We start from the raw sequence: 23,476 nt of genomic DNA, 5'->3' as shown, positions 1-23,476 counted from the left end.
GCTTGAATCTCACTCCTGGCATTTTCTCTGACCATGTAGACTAGGTTGGGGCCAATAACACATTTACACAGTTTCTGTCACATGGTGTATCATTATTTTTAAGAACTTACTTGCTATCTAATTGAGTAGAACATAAGCTTCATGAGATCAGAGACTATATTTACCTTCCTGTATATTCCTTACCTAGAACACGCCTGGCCTTCTAAATATTTGTTGAATAATTTGCCAATTTGATAGGTGAAAAATCGTAATTTGTTTTGATTTGACTACTTTGATAACTAATGAACTTGAATATTTTTATCCTGTTGATTGGCCATCCCATCTTTACTTCTGAATTCTGCCTTTCACATCTTTTCCTATTGGAGCATCTGCCTTCTGCATGATGGTTTATAGGAGCTTCTACCACATTATGGACATTATGCCTGATGGAAGGTTTTCTCTAGTAACTCATTTATATTTTTCTTTAACAGATTCTGAGGTTGGGACCAAGAAGGAACTATCTATTTTAAACCAAAAATTTTCCGAAGAAGTAAAAACCCCAGAATTTGTATCAAGAAGACTCTTAAGGGATAATGCACAGGCCGCTGAGTTTCGGGAAGCATGGGGCCGTGAGGGCAAACTCAAAGAGCGCGTGGGAAATTCTGCCGGGCAGAGTTTGAACAAACCCAATATTCACAAGAGAGTTTTAACAGAAGCTACCGTGGGCAGGGAAAGATCTTTGGGAGAAAGAACCCAAGAGTGTAGTGCATTTGATAGAAACTTGAATCTGGACCAAAATGTTGTTAGACTTCAAAGAAATAAAACAGGAGAGAGGGTCTTTAAATGTGATATATGCAGCAAAACCTTCAAATATAATTCAGACCTAAGTAGACACCAGAGAAGTCACACTGGGGAGAAGCCGTACGAATGTGGCCGGTGTGGGCGAGCCTTTACTCACAGCTCAAATCTTGTTCTGCACCATCACATTCACACTGGAAATAAACCATTTAAATGTGATGAATGTGGGAAAACTTTTGGACTCAATTCTCACCTCCGTCTTCATCGGAGAATTCACACTGGAGAAAAACCCTTTGGCTGTGGTGAGTGTGGGAAGGCTTTCAGTCGAAGCTCAACTCTTATTCAACATCGGATCATTCACACAGGAGAGAAACCCTACAAGTGTAATGAATGTGGAAGAGGCTTTAGCCAGAGCCCCCAGTTAACTCAGCATCAGAGAATTCACACTGGAGAGAAGCCGCATGAATGCAGTCACTGTGGGAAGGCCTTCAGTCGAAGCTCCAGCCTTATTCAGCATGAGAGAATTCACACTGGAGAGAAGCCCCATAAATGCAATCAGTGTGGGAAGGCCTTCAGTCAGAGCTCAAGCCTTTTCCTCCATCATCGGGTTCATACTGGAGAGAAACCCTATGTATGTAATGAATGCGGCAGAGCCTTTGGTTTTAACTCTCATCTTACTGAACACGTAAGGATTCACACAGGAGAAAAACCCTATGTTTGTAATGAGTGCGGCAAAGCCTTTCGTCGGAGTTCCACTCTTGTTCAGCATCGAAGAGTTCACACTGGGGAGAAGCCCTACCAGTGCGTTGAATGTGGGAAAGCTTTCAGCCAGAGCTCCCAGCTCACCCTACATCAGCGAGTTCACACTGGAGAGAAGCCCTATGACTGTGGTGACTGTGGGAAGGCCTTCAGCCGGAGGTCAACCCTCATTCAGCATCAGAAAGTTCACAGCGGAGAGACTCGTAAGTGCAGAAAACATGGTCCAGCCTTTGTTCATGGCTCCAGCCTCACAGCAGATGGACAGATTCCCACTGGAGAGAAGCACGGCAGAGCCTTTAACCATGGTGCAAATCTCATTCTGCGCTGGACAGTTCACACTGGTGAGAAATCCTTTGGATGTAATGAATATGGAAAAGCTTTCAGTCCCACCTCACGACCCACTGAAGATCAGATAATGCATGCTGGGGAAAAGCCCTATAAATGTCAAGAATGTGGAAACGCCTTCAGTGGAAAGTCAACCCTTATTCAACATCAGGTAACTCACACTGGTCAGAAACCATGTCATTGCAGTGTGTATGGGAAAGCCTTCAGCCAGAGTTCACAGCTCACACCACCTCAGCAGACTCGTGTTGGAGAGAAACCTGCTTTAAATGATGGCTCTAAAAGATACTTTATTCATATCAAGAAGATTTTCCAAGAAAGACATTTTTAATGTGATAAATGCAGAAGACAGTTTAGCAACTGTTCACTTGACATTAGAAGATAAGATGGCATAATGAAAGATATATAAGGTCTAAATATTACTGGCAAAGTAAAATAAATAGTTCAGATGACTACTAAAGTCAAAGTCATTAAATCTGGAAGTAAACACGAGAATTCATTCTGGGAAATCAGGCTGTCTGTGTAAAGGTTACTGCTGTGCTCAGGAGTTGAACCGTGTGGTGCTGTATCCGGATACTCATGACGAATGGATGGAGGGCGTGAAAAGTGAGCCCAGCTGGTGCTCTGGGTCTACCCTACCTGACATCCTTCCAGTCTTATCCTTTGTTTCCTATCCAGGCCCAGGCTTGTGGCTGAGAACATCCACTTTCAGTCCCATATACCTGCCTCCAAGTGTGGTACAGAGAACTTGGGCCTGCTGGGGGCGCTTAGCCTTACTCTCTCCACCACCTCTCCCACCAACCCCCAGATGAACTGCAGGTAGACGTTTCTTCCTTGCTTGGAGCCCCAGTTTTTGCATTTCATTTTCATTAAAATGAAAGGTGGTTTGGTTTTGGTTCTAAGGAGCTCTACAGTTTAACAGAGAGAGGGACCTTAGGGGCCAAGAAAGCAGGGGCCTACCAAGTATCTCCACTTTTGAAAATTGTAATTACTGATAAAAAATTTTTTAAAGGCAGGTTTATTGAAGCATAATTTATAAACAATAAAATTTACTCTTTTTAGTGTATAGTTCTTTGGGCTTTGACAAAAACATACAATTGTGCCACTACCACATTCCAGACATTGAACATCTTCACCACCACCCAGAATTCCTTTGTGCTCTCTTGTGGTTAACCCCTCCTCAACCCCAGTCCGTGGAAACCACTGGTTTGTTTTCTATCCTCTATCCATCACCTCACCATTTCCAGAAATAGTGTGCAGCTGTTTGCACGTGGCTGCTTTTACTGAACATGATGCATTGGAGTCATCCATATTGCCTGTGTAGAGTGCTTTTTTGCACCGAGTAGCATTCCATTGTATGGATGGAGCCATTTGTTTATCCGTTCACCCATGGCAGGGTATTTGGGCATTTTCAGTATGGGCAACTATGATTAAAGCTGCCATCACTGTGTATCAACTACAGGCTGTTTTGTGAATCTAACTTTTCAGTTATCTTGGGTAAATAGGAGTGGGATTGCTGGGTCATATGGTAAGCTTATGTTTAACATTTTAAGAAACTGCCAAACTTTTACAAAGTCAGTTGTATATCCCCACTGATGATGTGTGAGTTTAGTTGCTTTGAATCCTCACCAGATCTTGGTATTGTCCTTTTTTTTTTTTTTTTTTTTCCGAGGCGGAGTTTTGCTCTTGTTGCCCAGGCTGGAGTGCAATGGCGCGATCACGGCTCACCACAACCTCCGCCTCCCGGGTTCAATTCAAACGGTTCTCCTGCCTCAGCCTCCTGAGAAGCTGGGATTAGAGGCATGCACCACCACGCCCGGCTAATTTTGTATTTTTAGTAGAGACGGGGTTTCTCTATGTTGGTCAGGCTGGTCTCCAACTCCCGACCTCAGGTGATCCACCCACCTCAGCCTCCCAAAGCGCTGGGATTACAGGCATAAGCCAACGTGCCCAGCAGTATTGTCCATTTTTTAATATTCTAGCTATTTTAGTGGAGATGTAGTGGTATCCATGGTTTTAATTTGCATTCTCCTATTGACCATGGTTTGATCAGTAAGCATCTATTTAAAGAGTTTCATTGGGAAGTTTGAATAACACTGTAGTAGTTTCTCAGAGTGTGATCACCTGTGAAATTCTGATCTTCAATTCTTTTTTTTTTTCTCCTTTTTTCTGAAACAAAGTCTCGCGTTGTCACCCAGGCTGGAGTGCAGTGGCACGATCTCAACTCACTGCAACCTCCGCCTCCCAGGTTCAAGCGATTCTTCTGCCTCAGCCTCCCGAGTAGCTGGGACTACAGACGCGTGCCACCACGCCCAGCTAATTTTTGTATTTTTCTTAGAGACGGGGTTTCACCATGTTGGCCAGGGTGGTCTCAAACTCCTGACCCCATAATCCGCCCTCCTCAGCCTCCCAAAGTGCTAGGATTACAGGTGTGAGCCACCACGCCCGGCCTCTGATTTTCAATTCTGAGACTCTACCTGCAAGAATCTTTTTTCTTTTCTTTTCTTTTCTTTTTTTTTTTTTGAGACGGAGTCTCATTCTGTCGCCCAGGCTGGAGTGCAATGGCGCAATCTCTACTCGCTGCAAGCTCCACCTCCTGGGTTCACACCATTCTCCTGCCTCAGCCTCCCAAGTAGCTGGGACTACAGGCGCCCGCCACCACGCCCAGCTAATTTTTTGTATTTTTTAGTAGAGACGGGGTTTCACTGTGTTAGCCAGGATGGTCTCAATCTCCTGACCTCGTTATCCGCCCGCCTCGGCCTCCCAAAGTGCTGGGATTACAGGCATGAACCACCGTGCCCGGCCAAGAATCTTTTTTCAAATCTACCTTTCATTCCCTCCAGGTCTAACTGAAATATTTCCCCCCTTCAAGGAGCCTACCTTAGTTAATCTCTCATTCCATCTTTGTTTTCTTTTTTTCTTTTGAGACAGTGTCTCACTCTTATCACCCAGGCTGGAGTGCAGTGAAGCGATCACAGGTCACTGCAGCCTTGACTTCCTGGGCTCAAGCAACCCTCCGACCTCAGCTCCCAAGTAGCTGGGACTACAGGCACACACCACCATACCCAGATAATTTTTTAATTTTTTGTAAAGATGGTGTCACACCATGTTGCCCAGGCTGGTCTTGAACTCTTGGAGTCAAGCGATCCACCCACCTTGCCCTTCCAAAGTGCAGGTCTTACAGGCGTGAGCCACGGCGCCTGGCCTTACTGTTTTCTTAGGGAATTTGGGGTCACCGCTACATTTGGTTTAACATCCATTCTGTGATTTGCTGCGCTTATTCCCCCGCTCAGGTTCTGTCTCCCCCACTTTATTATTAAAATTCTTATCACAGAACCTCTTCCAAGTGTGGGAATTGCCAGCCTTAGTGTGGTCCATGTGGAATGGTCCACACAAAAGAGGGAGTGGATAGCACAGGCTCACCTGGAGGGTCCTGTCTCCCTCTGAAATGGATTCACTCTGACCTCAGGGAAAACACTGAATCTTCTTGGGTCTCTTTTTCTCCAGCTCTAAAATGGGGGAAAAAAACACCTCCCCCACGTCTAAAAAATAACTCTTTTACCCTTGTATCCCACAGCACAACATTCATATCCCCACCATTTCAACTTACATTTTCCTTTCTACCTCGTTACCCTACATTATACGGAGAACTCTCTGCTGTCAGAGATGTTGTCTTATGCACCTTTTTATCTCCAGCACACGATACAGAACAGGTGCTTAGGATGTACTTGGGAAGGAAGGAAGAGAGGTGAAGGAGGCAGAGAAAGGAAACAGTGCCAAGAATGTGCTTTGCGTAAATGTGAACCTTGTGTTCTGCTTCTGCTCTGTCCATGAGCACACTGGGTACATTAAAATTGTTTTCTCCTTCTGATCTACTGGAAAGGTCCCACAATGATGCCTCCCTTAAGAGGCCCACAGGCCTCACATTTACGTAGAATGGAAGGAAGCACCGGGGCATGGGAGGGCTTGTGGGTGGCTCTAAGGGCTGTTGTGACACGTACTTGCTGTGGACCCTGGGACTGAGGATGTTAGTAGGACAATGCATGGTTAAGCACCAAGAGAGCAAGGGAACACCTCAGGGGTAAAAATGAAGACCGAAATGAAAGTCAGAGCTTCCCACCTGGAAACTGATGCTAGGACAGCTCTGGGGCTCGTTTACAGCCCCCATGAAGACAGGCCTGGGTGGCTTGAGGGTGATGGTTGGAACCTGGGCCCCTGTCTAAAGCTGGAACCCCAAAGGGTTGAACCCCCTGTATAAAGACAGACTAGGAAAAAAATCCACCTGCGCATAAGGAGATGCTGGGCAGTCTCTACAAGTTTAGGAGATGGAGATGGAGCTGGAGTCCTGGGAGTCCAAGGTGACTAGAAGTCAAAGGAGCAGAAGAAAACTAACACAACAGAAGTAAATATACTCAAGCAAGCATCTGGAGATACTAAAAACATCTAGAATCAGATATTTTAAAACTAAAAAGTGTCTCATCCTATATTCTGTACCCCCAAAAAGAAACAGGAAGAAATACAGGAAGATATGGAACATAGGAAATTATAGACAAAATGACTCTTTCAAGCCTACTTCTAAATGGTTCAGAAAAAAGTGAAAGAGAAATAATATGGCAACGGTTAAGAACTGGTGAGTCTGAGTTAAGGTTATTTGGGAGTTCTCTGCATTATTGCAACTCTTCAAGTTTAAAATTATTTCAAAATAAAAAGCTCAGGGAGGCCGGGCGTGGTGGCTCATGCCTGTAATCCCAGCACTTTGGGAGGCCAAGGCGGGTGGATGATGAGGTCAGGAGATCGAGACCATCCTGGCTAACATGATGAAACCCCGTCTCTACTAAAAATACAAAAAATTAGCTGGGCATGGTGGTGGGCGCCTGTAGTCCCAGCTACTCGGGAGGCTGAGGCAGGAGAATGGCGTGAACCCGGGAGGCGGAGCTTGCAGTGAGCCGAGATCGCGCCACCGTACTGCAGCCTGGGCGACAGAGCGAGACTCCGTCTCAAAAAAAAAAAAAAAAAGCTCAGGGAGATGTTGATCAAAGGGTACCAAATTTCCTTTGTGTCCTTTGGAGGAAGTAAATAGGAAGAATAAGTTCAAGAAATCTACTGTACAACATGGTGACTATCGTTATTAACAATGTATTGTACTCTTCAAAACTGCCTAGAGTAGCTTTTTTCTCACCACAAAAAAGTATGTGAGGATGCATATGCTATTTAGCTCCATTTAGCCATTTCACAATGTACACATATTTCAAAACATGTCCATGATAAATATATACTTCTTTTGTCAGGTTCATAATTAAATAAAAACTTTAAGAAAGCTTAAGGCCAGGCATGGTGGCTCACGCCTGTAAACTCAGCACTTTGGGAGGCTGAGGGGGGCGGATCACCTGAGGTCAGGAGTTCAAGACCAGCCTGGCCAACATGGCAAAACCCCATCGCTACTAAAAATACTGTCCTTCAACTTCTATTACTTAGAGCTTAAAAAGAATCAGCCTATTACTAAGTCCAGTCTTCATTAATTTATAAACTTTTGTCAAGTAATCTATTGTACTTTCATAATTATAAATCAAAAATTAGTCTGGGCATAGTGGCTTACAATCCCAGCACTTTGGGAAGCTGAGGCAGGAGGATTGCTTGAAGCCAGAGTTTGAGACCAGTCTCGGCAACATAGTGAGACTCTGTCCCTACAAAAAACACAAAAGTTAGCCAGTCATGGTGGCTTGAGCTTGTGGTCCCAGCTACTTGAAGACTGAGGTGAGAGGATTACTTGAGCCCAGAAGTCTGAGGCTGCAGTGAGCTATGATGGCACCACTGCACTCCTGCCTGGGTGACTATGCAAGACCCTGCCTCTTAAAAAAAAAAAAAAAAATTAATATACTAAGAAGTTAAATGTTCAACTTAAGAAGTTAGACAAAGAATATTAGAGTAAACCTAAAGAAAGAAGTAGTAATGGGAAAATGAACATTTTAAAAAAGGAAACAATAAAGTCAATGAAGAAAACCAAAAGCAGGTTATTTGAAAGAGATACCAAAAGCACAAATGACAAAATAAAAAGAGAAATATTGACCTCATCAAAATTAAGAACTTTTGTGCTGCAAATGATACCATCAAGAAAGTGAGCTGGGCATGGTGGCTCACACCTGTAATCCCAGCACTTTGGGAGGCCAAGGCGGGCAGATCACGAGGTCAGGAGTTCAAGACCAGCCTGGCCAATGTGGTGAAACCTTGTCTCTACTAAAAATACAAAAATTAGCCAGGTGTGGTGGTGGGCGCCTGTAATCCCTGCTACTCAGGAGGCCAAGGCAGATTTGCTTGAACCCAGAAGGCGGAAGTTGCAGTGAGCCGAGGTCATGCCATTGCACTCCAGCCTGGGCAACAGAGCCAGACTCCGACTCAAAAAAAAAAAGAAAGTGAAACGACAGCCAGGCGTGGTGGCTCACGCCTGTAATCCCAGCACTTGGGGAGGCTGAGGCGGGTGGATCATTTTAGGTCAGGAGTTCGAGACCAGCCTGCCCAACATGCTGAAACCCCATCTCTACTAAAAGTACAAAAACTGGCCGGGCTCACTGGCTTACGCCTGTAATCCCAGCACTTTGAGAGGCCGAGGTGGACGGATCACGAAGTCAGGAGTTTGAGACCAGCCTGGCCAACATGGTGAAACCCTGTCTCTACTAAAAATACAAAAATTAGCTGGTGTGGTGGCGAGTGCCTGTAATCCCAGCTACTCGGGAGGCTGAGGCAGGAGAATCGCTTGAACCCAGGAGGCGGAGGTTGTGGTGAGCCGAGATCGCACCATTCCACTCCAGCCTGGACGACAGAGCGAGGCTCCGTCTCACAAAAAAAAAAAAAAAAAAAAAAAGTACAAAAACCATCCAGGCACGGTGGCGCACGTCTGTAATCCCAGCCACTCGGGAGGCTGAGGCAGGCGAATGGAGTGAACCCGGGAGGCGGAGCTTGCAGTGAGCGCAGATGGCGCGCCATTGCACTCCAGCCTGGGCGACAGAGTGAGACTCCGTCTCAAAAAACAAACAACTGAAAAAGACAACCCACGGTAGGTGAAAATATCTGCAAACCATCTATCTGCTAAAGAACTTGTATCCAGAACAGAGAAACAACTCTTACAACTCAATAAAAAGACAAGTAGTTTTTAAATGGGCAAAAGATTTGAATAGATATTTCTTCAAAGATACACAAATGGCCATTAAGCATGTGAGGTGATGCTTAACATCATTACTTATCAAGGAAATACAAATCAAAACCACAAAGCGACACCACTTCACACCCACCAGCTATGACTATGATTTTTTAAAAAAAGGCCAATAACAAGTGTTGATAAGGATGTGGAGAAACTGTCATGTATGGCTGTATGGATGAACAGATACAGAATGGGAAGGTACAATGAGGCAGCTGCTTTGGAAAACAGTTTGGCGACCCCTCAAGAAGGTAAACCTGGAGAAATTCTCAGATTCAGACTCAGGCTTTCTTCCGGCACTTCCTGAGGCCACGCACGCGTCCTTTGGGCCCTTCACCACCTTCCTGCACCCAGTTCCTTGTGGCCCCTGCTTCTCTGGGTCGAGGGCCGCCGCTGCTCACCTCTTCCTGGAACAGTCCTAAAGCCGCTGAGGCAGAAAAGGCCCAGCTCCCTCCACCCCGACGGGAGGGATCCGCGCTGAGGTCCGATCCGAACATGTTCCAGACCCCCCTGCAGGACTGGACCCGGTCACCCCGCGGCCTCTGCACGACGCTCACCCGGGCTGGCCTCCTCTTCTTCCCAGTCCTCACTGGCCGAGCCTGCGCCTCCCAATAAGCCAAGAATACAGGAAGCCTCACCTCAGGGTCTGCTTCTGGGGACCCCACCCCGACGCGAATGGCCGGCATTGCAAGTTCTAAGGCGTTTTGACAAACCGTGCTTTAACCTCCACAGCAGGAAGTCCCGCGGAAACTCCGCGCGGCCCCCGCTCTCCGGCAGGTCAGGGCAGAGCGCGACTTCTGGGGGTCAGGCGCTTCCGGCGGATTTTGAAACGGGGGCTACAGCTTCCGGAACCCCAGGTTTAAGGCGCCGAAGAATCTAGGGCCGCAAGAAACCTATGGTCAGACGGCAGCTCCCACCCCGCGGAAAACGCACGCTCTGAAAACGTGGCTGACGCGATGACGCCAGGTTTTCCCTCAGAAACGTTTCTCTTTGATCTTTCCGACCCATTTAGGGGATGTTTGAGGCAAAGGATTTCTCGCCCTCTACCCTCTCGAGGCACTCGGCCAGAAATGAGGTGGAAAGCACTGGAAGAGGCGCGCGCCAGGGGCTCCGGCGGGGACCCCTCACAAGCCACTCTCGGCGTCGCCCCGCGGACTCATTAGCGACATCCCCGGTGGGCGCCTCGCGTTCCCGCCGTAGAGGAACGATCAGCGAGGCAAGGAAACGCCTGGCTGGGGCAGCGGGGACGTGGCCCCTCCCCACGCTTTTGTCTTAACCACCCCCTCGGGCGCAATTCGCCGGCCACGCGGCAATGCGGACGCCCAGACTCGGGCGCGGGGTGCAGCGGCCCTCCCCCACCGCTCCGGGACTGCGAGCGCTTCTGGGCACGGCCCCGCCACACGCCGCCACCATTGCGCCCACTGCCACTTCTAGGGGCTCCTCCGACGGTCAGGGATGTGCTGAGGCAACGCCGGGCGGGCAGCAGGGGCGAGTCCGCGCTTCCCTGGAGCCGAAAGGAGCACTGCGGCCGGTGACCCCGGGCGGAAACCTGTTGGGAGCGCACCGGAAGTAGCCGTCCACAGAGGTCTGCGCACCTGCTCTCGGTCTGCTCTGAGACACCCGGATGACCGCCCACTCGGTGGTTCAACGGTCCCCGACAGGAGCTCCGGGTCCGGGCAAGGAAGGGGCCAGTTGGGCTCTTAGTGTGAAGCGACTGTGGGACATCCTGGTGAAGACAGGACCTAAAGCCGGCAGATGCTGCTGTGATGTAGATGCAAATTGGGGCGTCTTGATGGTCAGTGATGCCACTGAGCTCGCGAGGTCGCCCAGAGACAGTGTTGAGTGAGAAGCGGCCCTGGTGCCCCTGGGGCTGTTGAAGAGGGAAGAGGCGCCCTGGGCATGGAGACCGCTGGGGCGGCCCTGGATGGGAGGGGAGGGACCCAGGGGCCAGTTGCCACAGAGTCCCTCATGGAACTAGGCCCCTGAGACCTCAGTGTTGCTCAGGACTGTTGAGTTCCTTGGAGAATGAGAACTAAGGACCGAAGGTAGGAAAAATAACTTGACTTCTCTGTAGGAAAAATAGGTATCTCGGGAATGTTTCCAGGTGGCTGTGGTTGATGATATCCACAGCAGGAGCCCGGAAGCAACATGTCAGAACCTTAGTCTTTTCACCCATTTGGGGAAAAAGTTATCTCCTGGTCACAAAGATAAAGTTGCCTTTGACCATTAGCCTACTAAAGTCCACTGTGGTGGTAATGAGAGGTGAAGCCAGCTGGACTTCCTGGGTCGAGTGGGGACTCAGAGAACGTTTCTGTCTTACAAGGAGATTGTAAAATGCACTAATCAGCACTCTGTAGCTAGCTAGAGGTTTGTAAAATGCACCAGTCAGTGCTCTGTAGAGCTAGCTAGAGGTTTGTAAAATGGACCAATCAGCACTCTGTAAAATGGACCAATCAGCAGGACATGAGCAGGGACAAATAAGGGAATAAAAGCTGACCACCCTCCAGCCAGCAGGGACAACCCGTTCGGATCTTCTTCCATGCTGTGGAAGCTTTGTTCTTTCGCGCTTCACAATAAATGTTGCTGCTACTCACTCTGGGTCCGTGCCATCTTTAAGAGCTGTAACACTCACTGTGAAGGTTGGTGGCTCCATTTTTGAAGTCAGTGAGACCACGAACCAACTGGAAGGAACCAACTCCAGACACAGTAACAGTAGCTGCCATTCATGGAGCACCTGCTATGTGCCAGGTGGTGCCAAGTGCTCTGCGTGTGCCAGGTAAGGATTGACATCACCATTTCACAGGTAAGAAAGCTGAGGTTGAACAAATTGTCTATGATCCAGATCCATCTGTCCCACTCCAAAACCCTCTTTTTACTCCCCCCAGGCTCTCACATTCGATGTGGCTGGCCATCATAGGGACAGACAAGAGACTGTCTTTAAATGTGTTACTGAATAATTTGGGAGTCGTTCTAAACTTCCATCAAGTCTAAATTTATTGTCCCAAAGGGCATAGAATGAGATTTTAATTTCATGAGCAGAAACCTAATCATTCATTAGAGAAACACAGAGGAAACTAACATTCAGCTTGGACTCTAAGCCTTAGAGGAAAGAAAATGGAAAGACAAAGAGCCAGAAATGTACAGATACTGTCCAGGCACTGTCCACTCCCCATGTTCTGGTTTCTGTTCCTCCAGCTTCCCTCAAGACCTATGCACAAACGGAGGTACAATCCCAGTGGCAACACCAGGGTTGCTAACAACTTTCGGGCAGATGTTAAGAATCTAGCCTCTAGCAGGGCTCAATCTGTGCCCTGACTTTCTGGTCTTCTATGTCCACTTCCTGGAGTGTAGGGATCATCTCAGTATGAGGGAAGAATCAGGTATCAGAGCCTGCAGAGCCACAGTCCAGACTCTGGGCAGGTGAGTTTGCCTCTCAGTAATCTCCCTGCTGATCTCCCCAGTACAAGTGCGCTATGGCCCAGGTCCTTGACCACAGCATTCAGCCACAAACTGTGTGGGTTCTTTTTTTTTTTTTTTTTAAACCATAAAATCTCATGTGAAGGAAAAGGAGCCATGAGGGTAATCAAGAAGCCAGTTTACAGTCTGAGGAACAGGGCAGCATACCTATGACACCCCTGGATGACAGGTGAGGAGAAGAGCCATGCACAACATGGAGCACAGTAACTTCGTGGGCACAGGGAGCTGCCAGGTGCTTTGCAGTCCACGTACCCAGATGGCCTTGAAGAGGAATTCTGAAACCCTCCTGGTTCAAAATATCCTACAGCTCCCATGTCTCCAGGACTGAACACACTCCCCAGCAGGGCCTGCAAGGCCAGGCTCTGCAGGATCCCAGTCCTTCCCGGGTCCTCACACTCCCAACTCCACGGCATCTGAGAGTATCAGCCTCTTCCCAGCTCATCTGTGTTCCTTCTGCCATCATCTTGTCAATCCTTCAAGGCCCAGTTCTATCCCTTCATCCAAACCTTCCTCATCCCTCTTCCCCAATCAACCCTTCCCTTCACTGCAAGTCCTGTGGCACTTACGACCTTGGCAAGTGTCACCTGGCATCCAACGGTGTGCACAACAGGACAAGTGGAAGTGAGTGAGCCAGACACAAATCAGTGATGCACAAAAGCACCTGTTGGTGACAACAGCTGCTGTGGCTCCCCTTTTATGAATGTAAGGTCCGTTTTCCCTGAAAGGAGTACAGAATTGTAGACAAGACTCAAGAGTCTACCCTCCCCTCCCTTTTGAAAACAATTTTTAATTAGCGACCAGGTGGTCTCTATCACCCAGACTGGAGTTCAGTGGGGCAGTCACGGCTCACTGTAGTCTCAAACTTCTGGCCTCAAGCGATCCTCCTGCCTCAGCCTCCCAAGTATCTGGAACTACATGTGCAGGCCACCACACCTGACTAATTTGTAATTTTTCTTTTTTTTTTTGTAGAGACAGGGTCTCACTTTGTAGTCTAGTCTTGAACTCCTGGCCTCAAGTGATCCTCCTGCCTCAGCCTCCCAAAGTGTTGGGATTACAGGCGTAAGCCACTGCACCCAGCCCCTCTCTTCTTTTTAACACATATAAGGCAACAGCTTGCTTCTTATACCCAGGACTGGGGTTGGAACCCTGGAAGATTATGTGGGCTTGGTTGCTCTTCTCTGCACCTCAGGCCTTGGAAGACAGAGGGTCATTCCTGGCTCAGATTGTGCCATTGCCTGATGACGAAGGAGGGGCAGATGGATGCATTTCATAGCTGTGTTCCTCTCCAAGCTTTCCTCCTTTCTCCTCAGATTGCGCCTAGAGGAAAAATCTAACCAGAAACTTTTTTTTTTTTTTGAGACAAGAGTTTCACTCCGTCACCCAGGCTGGAGTGCAGTGGTGTGATCTCAGCTCACTGCAACCTCTGCCTCCTGGGTTCAACCAATTCTCTTGACTCACTGGAGTAGCTGGGATTACAGGCGTGCACCACCATGCCTGGCTAATTTTTGTATTTTTAGTAGAAACAGAGTTTCTCCATGTTGGCCAGGCTGTTCTCAAGTGATCCACCTGCCTTGGCCTCCAAAAGTGCTGGGATTATAGGCATAAGCCACTGCACCCAGTCAGTCAGAAACTTTTCAACAGCTATTTTGTATAAACAACAAACTATTCAGTTAAATCTATGATTTGTAGTTCACAAAATCAATTGCTCTTACCATCAATGGCTTTATAATCCTTTATTTTCTGTTTCTACTTTAATGACCTTATTGTATGCATCACTATTTCAATTCAAATTACCTTTAGGAGGTATGAACTAGATATAAGTAATCTTTAACACACATATTTTTAGGACAGAGGCTCGCTCTGTTGCCCAGGACAGAGTACAGTAGTGAAATCATGGCTCACTCCAGCCTCAACCTCCTGGGTTCAAATGATCCTCCCACCATGCCTAGCTAATTTTATTTATTTGTAGAGATGGGGTCTCACCATGTTGCCAGGCTGGTCTCAAAAGTCCTGGCCTCGAGTGATCCATCTTGGTCTCTCAGAGTGCTGGGATTACAAGCATAAGCCACTGTGCCCAGCCTTGATTTCATTTCATAGTGAAAACTTCATTCTAAAGTCAAGGATTTTATCCTAAGCTGCTGAAGGATTATGTTAAAATAATGTTATGTTTTCAGTATAGCCAGTAGCCACAACGGATTGCCTTCTGATTAAAAGACAGATCCTACATGTTGGTGCGGCTGACACTCATTCTACATGCTTTCAGATTTAAAAAACTTAGTGCAGAGGTGTAGGAAGCTGCCTCAGCTATTCTGTTTGGTTTCACGAAGACCTGGAGTCATTGCTCATCATTGTTCAGGATAAAAAGGCAGCTCTGGAGACCCAACACTAACTCTAGTAGTTTTCCATTTTCCTGTGCATCCACTTTGGGGGTTGCATTTATCTGCCTCTCTCTGGGTCTGGTCTCTGCTTCTGGTTTCTGCATATTTGAGATCAGGCCACGCCATGGACCACTGGCCTCCCCTAGCATTTCCAGTGGCATTCCCAGCCAGGAATAAGGCTGTCTTTGTCTCCATCTTACAATCCCAGTCTAAAGCAAGATTCCCTACAGAGCATGGCCACCCTGGGGCAAGCACCTGCTAGGGCAGTTTATTCAAAAGGGAGCAGCTGGCAATAGCAGGAACCCACATTTCCACCTACTTCCCACAGTACACCAAAGCCTCTCATATCCATTATATCCTCTATGAATTATCTCATTGTAAATAATATGTGAGTTCCAAATAAATGCTTTTTCAACATTCATTACATCCATAGGGGTTCTCTCCAACAGGAACTCTCTGACATTATATAATGAGCTACAATGAAAGTCTTCCCACCTTTGTTGCATTCTTGGATGCTCTTCTCTCCTGTATGAATTGAGGGGTTCCTCTCCAGTAGAATTTGTGAGATAGTGACTGAGAAGCTAGCTCACACTGAAAGCCTGCCCACATTCCTTTAACTTATACTTCCTATCCATAATGTGAACAACCTAATGTCTAATAAGGGTTGAGCTCTGGCTGAAGCATTTCCCACATACACTACATGCATGTGGCTTCTCTACAGAATGTGTTCTGTGGCAATGAATCAAGTGTGACATCTGAATAAAGCCTCTCCCACATGACACACACATAAGTTTTCTCTCCAGTGTGTATTCTTTGATGATCAATCAGGTGTGATGTTTGAAGCCCCTTCCACACTCACTGCATTTGTAGGGCTTCTCTCAAGCATGCTTCCTTTGATTATGAATCACGTGTGATGGCTGACTGAAGCTTTTTCCACACTCTTGACATTCAAAAAGTTTCTCTCCTGTATGAATTCTCTGATATTGCATGGGATTTGCTTTCGGATTAAAGGCTTTCCCGCACTCAATACATTTATAGGGCTTCTCTCCAGTATGTATCAGTTGGTGTTTAATAAGGTTTGAATTCCCACTAAAGGCTTTGTCACATTCATCCCACCTATAGGGCTTTTCTCCAGTATGAATTCTCTGATGTTTAACAAGCTTTGATGTCTCCCTAAAGCCCTTACCACATTCACTACACACACAGGGTTTTTCTCCACCATGAATTTTCTTTTCTTTTCTTTTCTTTTGAGATGGAGTCTCACTCTGTCGCCCAGGCTGGAGTGCAGTGCCGCAATCTCAGCTCAATGCAACCTCCGCCTCCCTGGTTCAAGCAATTCTTCTGCCTCAGCCTCCTGAGTAGCCAGGATTACCAGCATACACCACCACACCCAGATAATTTTTGTGTTTTTAGTAGAGATAGGGTTTCACCATCCATGGTGAATTTTCTGATGATGTATAAGGCTTGAGTTGTGTTTTTTTCCCCACATTCAATACATACACAGGGCTTCTCTGTAGTATGAATTATCTGATGCCAAGTAAGGTGTGAGTTCTTGCTGAAAGACTTCCCATACACATGGCATCCATGGGGCTTTGTCCCACTGGTAACTGCCCGATGTCCACTCAGATATGACTCACATGGAAAGCCTCAGCCACCCATCCTCCATCCACTGGCTCTCTTTCCTGGCCTGTCCCTCAGAGGTACAACAGGCTTTGTGCCCAGAGACAAACTTTTCTCCAATTTATTACATTCCCGGTATTTGTCTGCTACAATGATTTTCAACGGGGAGCTGACCACTTGCCTCGAACCTCTCTTTTGGGGAAATAACTTCATCCTGGTCTGTATTGTGAATTTCTTCCAGCAATGTTCTGCTCCTGTCTCAGTCCTACAAGCTGATCGAAACTCAAACTCTTCTGGATTGCCTCTTGGGAAAATTTCCTGAGTTACTTCTTGTAATTGTTCTTCGGAAGATTTTTCTGTTGGCGTTGATTGTTTATGCTTTGTTTTGACCTAGGAATCTGAAACAAAGAATGGAAATTAAAAGTTTCCCTGTGAAAGAAGGAATTGATTGAGCCAAAGCAAATTTCCGTGCAGCTCATATGTCTCAGCCTGAGTTGAGTTTTATTTTCCCTTCTGTTAATCACTTTATTCCATTTTGTCTTGTATCATGCTTAGTTGTGTGTGTCCATCTCACTCTGACTGGACTGAAATTCTGAGGGCAAATGCCTTCTCACACAAGTACTTGCGGCACCTTAATGGCGCAGTGCACAAAGCAGGAACTGACAACTAAAGAACGAGGGATTCATTCCAGCAGTGTTTGCCAGGTGCCTCCTGGGTGCCTGGCACTGCTTGAGGTACCAGGGAATTGGTGAATGAATGAAGTCCCCTGTCCCTTAACTTTCTAATGTGGAGACCGACAATGTGATAGGACATCAGGCAGGATAAATAATTCTTCCACAAACTACGATGTTCTCCACAAACCAAAATGTACACTCCCTGAAGACAAGGACTTGGTTTTGCTTATACTTAACCCCAGCACCTAGAAGAATGCCTGCATGCAAGCAGCATGCAAACTGTGGAAATAGGAGAGGGTGCTGGGGGCATGCTCCCGTGTGACCACAATGTGGAGTTTTGTTTGTACTTTGACATGTAAGTGCAAATCAGCTCATCGGAAGGCTGGTCACCACTAGAAAATGGCTGTCCCACCTGAGTAGCTGCACAGTGGACTTGCACTTCCCCTCAGAGGGAAGGTGGGGCCAGGACGGGAGCCAGAATAGACAATCAGGGGTCTCTCAGCTGGCCATTTGAACTCCCCCCTCACCACTCTCACAGCTCACATGCACAACACATCACAGTTCCCCTGAGATACCCACCTCCTCACTCACCTGTGCAGGGAGGCCCTGGCAGAGCAATGACCCATGGCATTTTCCCCTGCTCCTGCTGGGAGATAACCCTGAGTGTGGACACTGAAAAACCTGTCTATCAAGAAGATAATGGTCAGTGCTAGAATATCTGAGCTGCCCCTGGCTGAGGGCCACAGAGGCTGCAAGAGGAGGGGGATCCAGAGGAGGTCTCGAGAAGAAAGAATGGGTGATGAGATCACTGGGCACTCCCTGCTGGGACACGAGCACCCCAGCATGGACTGGGGATATTTGGTCTATGAGTCAAGAGAGCCCAGGGGACCAGTCACCTGGGGATGGGGAGCAGGGACCTGAAGCCCACCATGTGATGCTTATCCAGAGCTGGTAGGGTGCAGTGGTTCTCGAGCATCACATCCTGGTAGAGTGCTCTCTGAGGGGGTCCCAGGTGCTGCCCCTCCTCCTGTGTGAGGTACATGGCCACCTCCTCAAACATCACTGTGCCCTGGAATCACAGGTGCTCACTGCCCAGAGAGCCTCACCCCTGCCCAAGGGCAAATGCACCTTGCAGCTTGGACTGAGTTTCTAGCAAGAGGCTCTACGTGCATCTCCCTACCTTCCAGGCAGATGTTTAGGAAAAGAGCTAGGGGTAGGTTGGGCAGGGAAGGTGTGACTATGGAAACACAGAGCTCTCAAAACTGGGCTCTCCCCTTAGGGCCCTGCATCCTGCTCAGCTCTGTGGAAGGGGCAGCTAGTGGGGTGGGCCTGGATCTGAGGAGGGAGATTCTGTTCTCAGGGCCCCAAGGGTCTGCTGGGCAAGGGGCTCCAGGCTGAGGGGGAGAGGCCTTGGGCAGCAACTGTTCCCCAAAGGCCAGCTCACCTGGGGCTCAGCCACCATCGCTGGGCTCCTCCTGGGAAGGATAGAGGCAGGGTGTCAAAAGGAAGACACAAAAGGGCAAGCCCATGCCCCGCAGACCTGACTGCTGCAGCGGCCCCAGGTAACAAGCTGTCTTAGGAGCTGGTGACCCTGCATTTCCTTCAGCATGAAGGGCACCTGTGCCCAAGACCTTCTCACCTGGGCTTAGTGCTGCTGCAGAGCCCTTGAATTCAGGTTCAAGGGTGATGCTGTGCCTCTGCTGCTTGGAGTCTGGAGGATGTGACCTGACCCTGACCCTGCCTGGCAACACCTCCCACTGGTACCCTCTCCCACCCCCGGAGTTTGGGTCCACTGTGGGCTCCCTCGGGTCTCCAGCTTGCCCTCCTCCCTAGAGCACCTCAAATCAATGCCTTGTGGGGGCGAGGCATGTTCAAGAGGGGCTGGAGTCATGCTGGAGGGGTGTGCATCCTCAGAGTTTCCTGCAGGAGGACCTATAGTTTGGGCCTGGAGAAAACCCTTTTGGTAGAGCTGGCAGCAGGCCCCAGGCTGGGAATGGCAGGGGGTGAGGGCTCACCCCTCCACCTGCTCCCCTCCTCCCCAGCCGCCCCCACCCCTGCCTGAGGCCAGGGCGCCTCCCTCCCCCAATCACTACCCTGGTCCTTGGTCTCTCAGTCTCTGCCGGCCCCTGGCTCAGCCCGCTCTGACTGGGGTTTGTAAACTGGCTTCCTCACCAGGCCTCTGGCCCACAGCCCTGTCCATCTTGAGGCCTCAGCTCTGCAGCCTCCCTGCACCCCCTCGAAAGAGGCCACCACAAAAGAAGCCACCATGGCATCATGGTTGCAGGTGGAGGGGCACGGCCTGAGCTGGACCCTGGAAAGGTGGTCAGCAGGGGTCTCTCCCCAGCAGCTGGGCCCAGGGGGTTGGGGGCAAGCCATAATTGGCTGCATGTCACCTCAACCACCTCTGCCTCATGGACAGCAGAGACCACGACTCCACCCACTGGGGCATGAAGGGCAGGGAGTGTTAATCTGTGTGGGCTCCATGTTACACCTAGAACATGGGGTATAACACAGATAGATGGCCACACATGGTCACAAGTCAGTGTCCTAAAGAGAAACAAAAAGCAGGGAAGCTATTCCAGATTAAAACAGCCAGCGAGGTGCGGTGGCTTAGGCCTGTAATCCTAGCACTTTGGGAGGCCAAGGCAGGCAGATCCTTTGAGTCCAGGAGTTTGAGACTAGCCTGGGTAACATGGTAAGACTTGGTCTCTATAAAAAAATACAAAAAATTAGCCAGGCGTGGTGGCACATTCCTGTAGTTCCAGCTACTCGGGAGGCTGAGGTGGGAGGATCACCTAAGCCTGGGAGGATGAGGATGCAATGAGCCATGATGGCGCCACTGCACTCCAGCCTTGGGGACAGAGTGAGACCTTGTTTCCAAAAAAAAAAAAAAAAAAAAAAAAAAAAGGCCGGGCTCACGCCTGTAATCCCAGCACTTGGGGAGGCCAAGGCAGGCAGATCACGAGGTCAGGAGATCGAGCGTCCTGGCTAACACGGTGAAACCCCGTCTCTACTAAAAATACAAAAAATTAGCTGGGCATGGTGGCAGGCGCCTGTAGTCCCAGCTACTCGGGAGGCTGAGGCAGGAGAATGGCTTGAACCCAGGAGAAGGAGCTTGCGGTGAGCCGAGATCACGCCACTGCACTCCAGCCTGGGCGACAGAGCGAGACTCTGTCTCAAAAAAAAAAAAAAAAAAAACAGCCTGAAGAGACACAATTAAATGCAACATGCAATCTTGATTAGCTTCTGAATTAGAGGGGAAAAACCCAGCTATGCAGACATTTTAGAGACAATTGGAGAAATAAGTTATGTGACCACAGGATTTTTGCTTTTGTTTGTTTTTTTGAGACGGAGTCTCACTCTGTCGCCAGGCTGGAGTGCAGTGGCACGATCTTGGCTCACCACCACCTCTGCCTCCTGAGTTCAAGTGATTTTCCTGCCTCAGCCTCCCAAGTAGCTGGGACTACAGGTGCATGCCAACACACCCAGCTAATTTTTGTATTTTTAGTAGAGATGGGGTTTCACCATGTTGGCCAGGATGGTCTCGATCTCTTGACCTCGTGATCCACCCACCTCAGCCTCCCAAAGTGCTAAGATTACAGGCATGAGCCACCGTGCCCGGGGACCACGGGATAATTGTTAATTTTCTCAGGTGAAATAAAGTATTGCTATCATGTAAGAAAATGTCCTCATCTCTAGGAAATAGGCTGAGGTACCTAAGGGAAAGTGTCATGATGTCTACAAATTACAGCTGACCCTGAAACAACACAGGTTTGAACTGCAAGGGTCAGTTATAATTGGATTTTCTTCCAACTCAGTCACCCCTGAGATTGCAAGACCAATCCTCCTCTTCCTCCTCTTCCTCAGACTACTCAATGTGAAGACAATGAGGATGAAGACTTTTATGATGATCCACTTTCACTTAATGAATATTAAATATATTATGTCTTCCTTATGATTTTCTGAACACCATTTTCTTTTCTCTAGCTTATCTAAAGAATAGAGTATATAATACATATAACATAAAAAATGTGTTAATTGACTATGTTATGCGTAAGGCTTCCAGTCAACAGTAGGCTATTAGTAGTTAAATTTTAGGGGAGTTAAAAGTTATGCTTTGATTTTCAACTGCACAGGGGTCACTGCCCCAACCCCTTTATTATTCAAGGGTCAACGGTATTTTCAAATTACTTTTCAGCAGCAAAAAGTAAATATATTCAAAGATACAGCCAGTGTGGCAAAATGTCAACAACTATAGAATCTAAATGAAGAGTTTATGGTGTTCATAATACTTTTCTGTGGATTTGAACATTCTCAAAATTAAGAGCAGTGTGGAAAGTAAAAAGTTCCTCTTCAAAGTTTCTTCTTTAAATCAGAAATGTTATTGGTATTTTCTCTCAGAGCTAGTTCTATTCAAGCTTGTTATTTTATAGTGATAACTCTGTTATGCCTTATATAGCAAATGTAACAGAATAAGCATACCGTATGCCTGTATACTCTGACTTCAGTATTTGTGTTAGACATTTTCACAGACATGTAGTACATTCTGTGTCCTTGTACCTTAACCGAAATATTCGTGCTGGACGTGCCCAGACATGTCCCAGCTTGCAGCCTATGCCCCTTCCTTATTCAGAAATGTTATTACTGTTCTAAAGTCCTTTCGTAAGCAACTTCCTCTTTTCCTTTGTTCCTCATTGTCTTTACCTATTTAGAAAGTTTTAAATTGTTAACCAATTAAGTTCAGCCTAGAATGTGAGGTCCAACTCAGCCAACGGAGATAGGACACAGCAGTAGGGACCTCATGCGTTAGGGATACATATTCCTGTCTCCCTTTGTTCGGTGTACTCTCTTGGCAAGACTGCTGGCAAGCAGTACCATTTCTGCAGAAAGTAAAGTTGCCTTGCTGAGAGTACTTTTTGTCTAAATGCTGCCTCTTCCTTGCGACACCAGGGAATGAGCATTTATTTCTAACAAGCAGCAATGGAAGACATCACTCTGGCTTCTTGCAGAGGGCAGTCTGGAGGCAGGAGAGGACACGGGAGGAAACCTGTGGTCCAGGGCACAGGTTGGGGTCCAGTGGCCCTTTCCTATCTCAGTGCTCCACGTTTGCTAAGTCAGAGGTACCACCTGTCATCACCATCCCATGGCCATTCATGCTTGAGAGGAGAGTCCTGCACAGACAGAGCCAGGCTCTGCTCCACATTTCCCTCTTTATGCTATTCCCTGGCCCCCACCACCCCCAGCACGCTTCCGGCCCAAGAGCCGTGCAGGGACAGCAGGGCAGCTTCTAGATATCTTGTAGGGCATTGGACGTGAGAAGAAGAGCTGAGAGAGGAGCCCTGGGTGATCCTTGAGTGGAATCAATGAATGAACGAATGATTTCCTCTCACTTCCTCGAGTTTACTTCATATTGGTGGATTGTCTCAGGAAGACTCCAAAAGTGATTGCCACCACTCAGCTTTCTGGCAGTACAAGTGGGGAAAACGCAGGGCTGAGGATGAGGCCAGAGGTGGGAGTCTCGCTTGTCCCTTCCCAACTTTCACCAGACAAAATGGCGGACCCCGCCCAGAGACCACGCCCCTCACCTTAGAGGACACAGCTCCTAGACAACTCCCTTCATCCTGCACTAACCTCACCCCGAAACCACGTCATTCACCCTTCACATATCCTGCTCCAGGAACACTCCCCTCACCCTTCACAGACCCGCACCACCGGCAACATGGCTCTCACCCTTCACAGCCCCTCATGCCGGAAAAACTCTCCTCATCCTTCACAAACACCCCCACCCCAGGAACATGCCCCTCACCCTTCACAGACCCTCATTCGGGGAACAAGCTCCTCACCCTACACAGACCTGCCCCCCATGACCACACCCCTCACCCAACCCAGGGACCCCGCCCCTTGCCTTTATAGACTCCGACCCGCGACCGCACATCCTGCAGAGACCCGGCCTCGCCCCTGCATCCTTCGTAGATCCCGCCCTGTGACCACACCCCTCGCCCTTCATAGGCACTGGCCCGCGGCCGTGCACGCCCCGCTTTTATTGGCTCCGCTCCGTGACCACGCCCCCGCAACCTTGATAGACTCCACCCCCGAGGACCCTTCTCAGGAGCACAGTGACCCCGCCTCCACAGGGTCCGCTCCGCCACACTGACCCTTCCGTGTCGCTCGCGGGACCCCACCCCTGTCCGCCTGCTCCGGTGCCCATGGGGAAGCCTGGTGCCAGGGGTCACCAGTCAGTCCAATTCACCGCCCGA

At 48.4% G+C, this 23,476-nt stretch overlaps 1 protein-coding gene and 1 long non-coding RNA gene across 7 annotated transcripts in view, besides 1 other annotated feature; one reads left to right on the top strand and one right to left on the bottom strand.

The window, feature by feature from the left end:
* Positions 1–2,944, top strand: part of ZNF251 (zinc finger protein 251) — a 34,623-nt gene extending 31,679 nt beyond the window's left edge. For both annotated transcript variants that reach the window (NM_138367.2, XM_024447324.2), the window contains exon 5: positions 471–2,944. In NM_138367.2, the coding sequence (NP_612376.1) occupies positions 471–2,209 (1,739 nt within the window). In that variant the 3' untranslated portion in view covers positions 2,210–2,944. The remainder of the gene's footprint in view (positions 1–470) is intronic.
* A 6,063-nt stretch (positions 2,945–9,007) lies between these two features.
* Positions 9,008–23,462, bottom strand: LOC100996662 (uncharacterized). Of its 5 annotated transcripts, none has more exons than XR_007061151.1 (4): positions 18,859–19,264; positions 17,811–17,900; positions 10,430–16,943; positions 9,008–9,946 (listed from the first exon to the last, which is right to left on the bottom strand). It is a non-coding gene; the product is annotated as an uncharacterized LOC100996662 (long non-coding RNA). The 5 variants fall into 5 exon arrangements; XR_007061153.1 differs by lacking the exon at positions 18,859–19,264 and having other exon boundaries at positions 9,008–9,669; positions 9,784–9,946; positions 17,811–18,850; XR_001746144.3 differs by lacking the exons at positions 17,811–17,900; positions 18,859–19,264 and adding an exon at positions 23,375–23,462.
* Positions 21,220–22,419: an enhancer, noted in NCBI's record as "MED14-independent group 3 enhancer chr8:145926819-145928018 (GRCh37/hg19 assembly coordinates)". NCBI's record gives its function as "activates an origin of replication core promoter dependent on BRD2, BRD4, P300/CBP and CDK7 cofactors, and independent of MED14, by STARR-seq in HCT116 cells {active_cell/tissue: HCT116}" and the evidence as "EXISTENCE:reporter gene assay evidence [ECO:0000049][PMID:35650434]".
* Positions 23,463–23,476: the final 14 nt, after the last annotated feature.

The sequence above is a fragment of the Homo sapiens genome, chromosome 8, assembly GCF_000001405.40.
Source record: "Homo sapiens chromosome 8, GRCh38.p14 Primary Assembly".
Taxonomy (NCBI): domain Eukaryota; kingdom Metazoa; phylum Chordata; class Mammalia; order Primates; family Hominidae; genus Homo; species Homo sapiens.
This window is presented reverse-complemented; position numbering and strand designations above follow the sequence as displayed.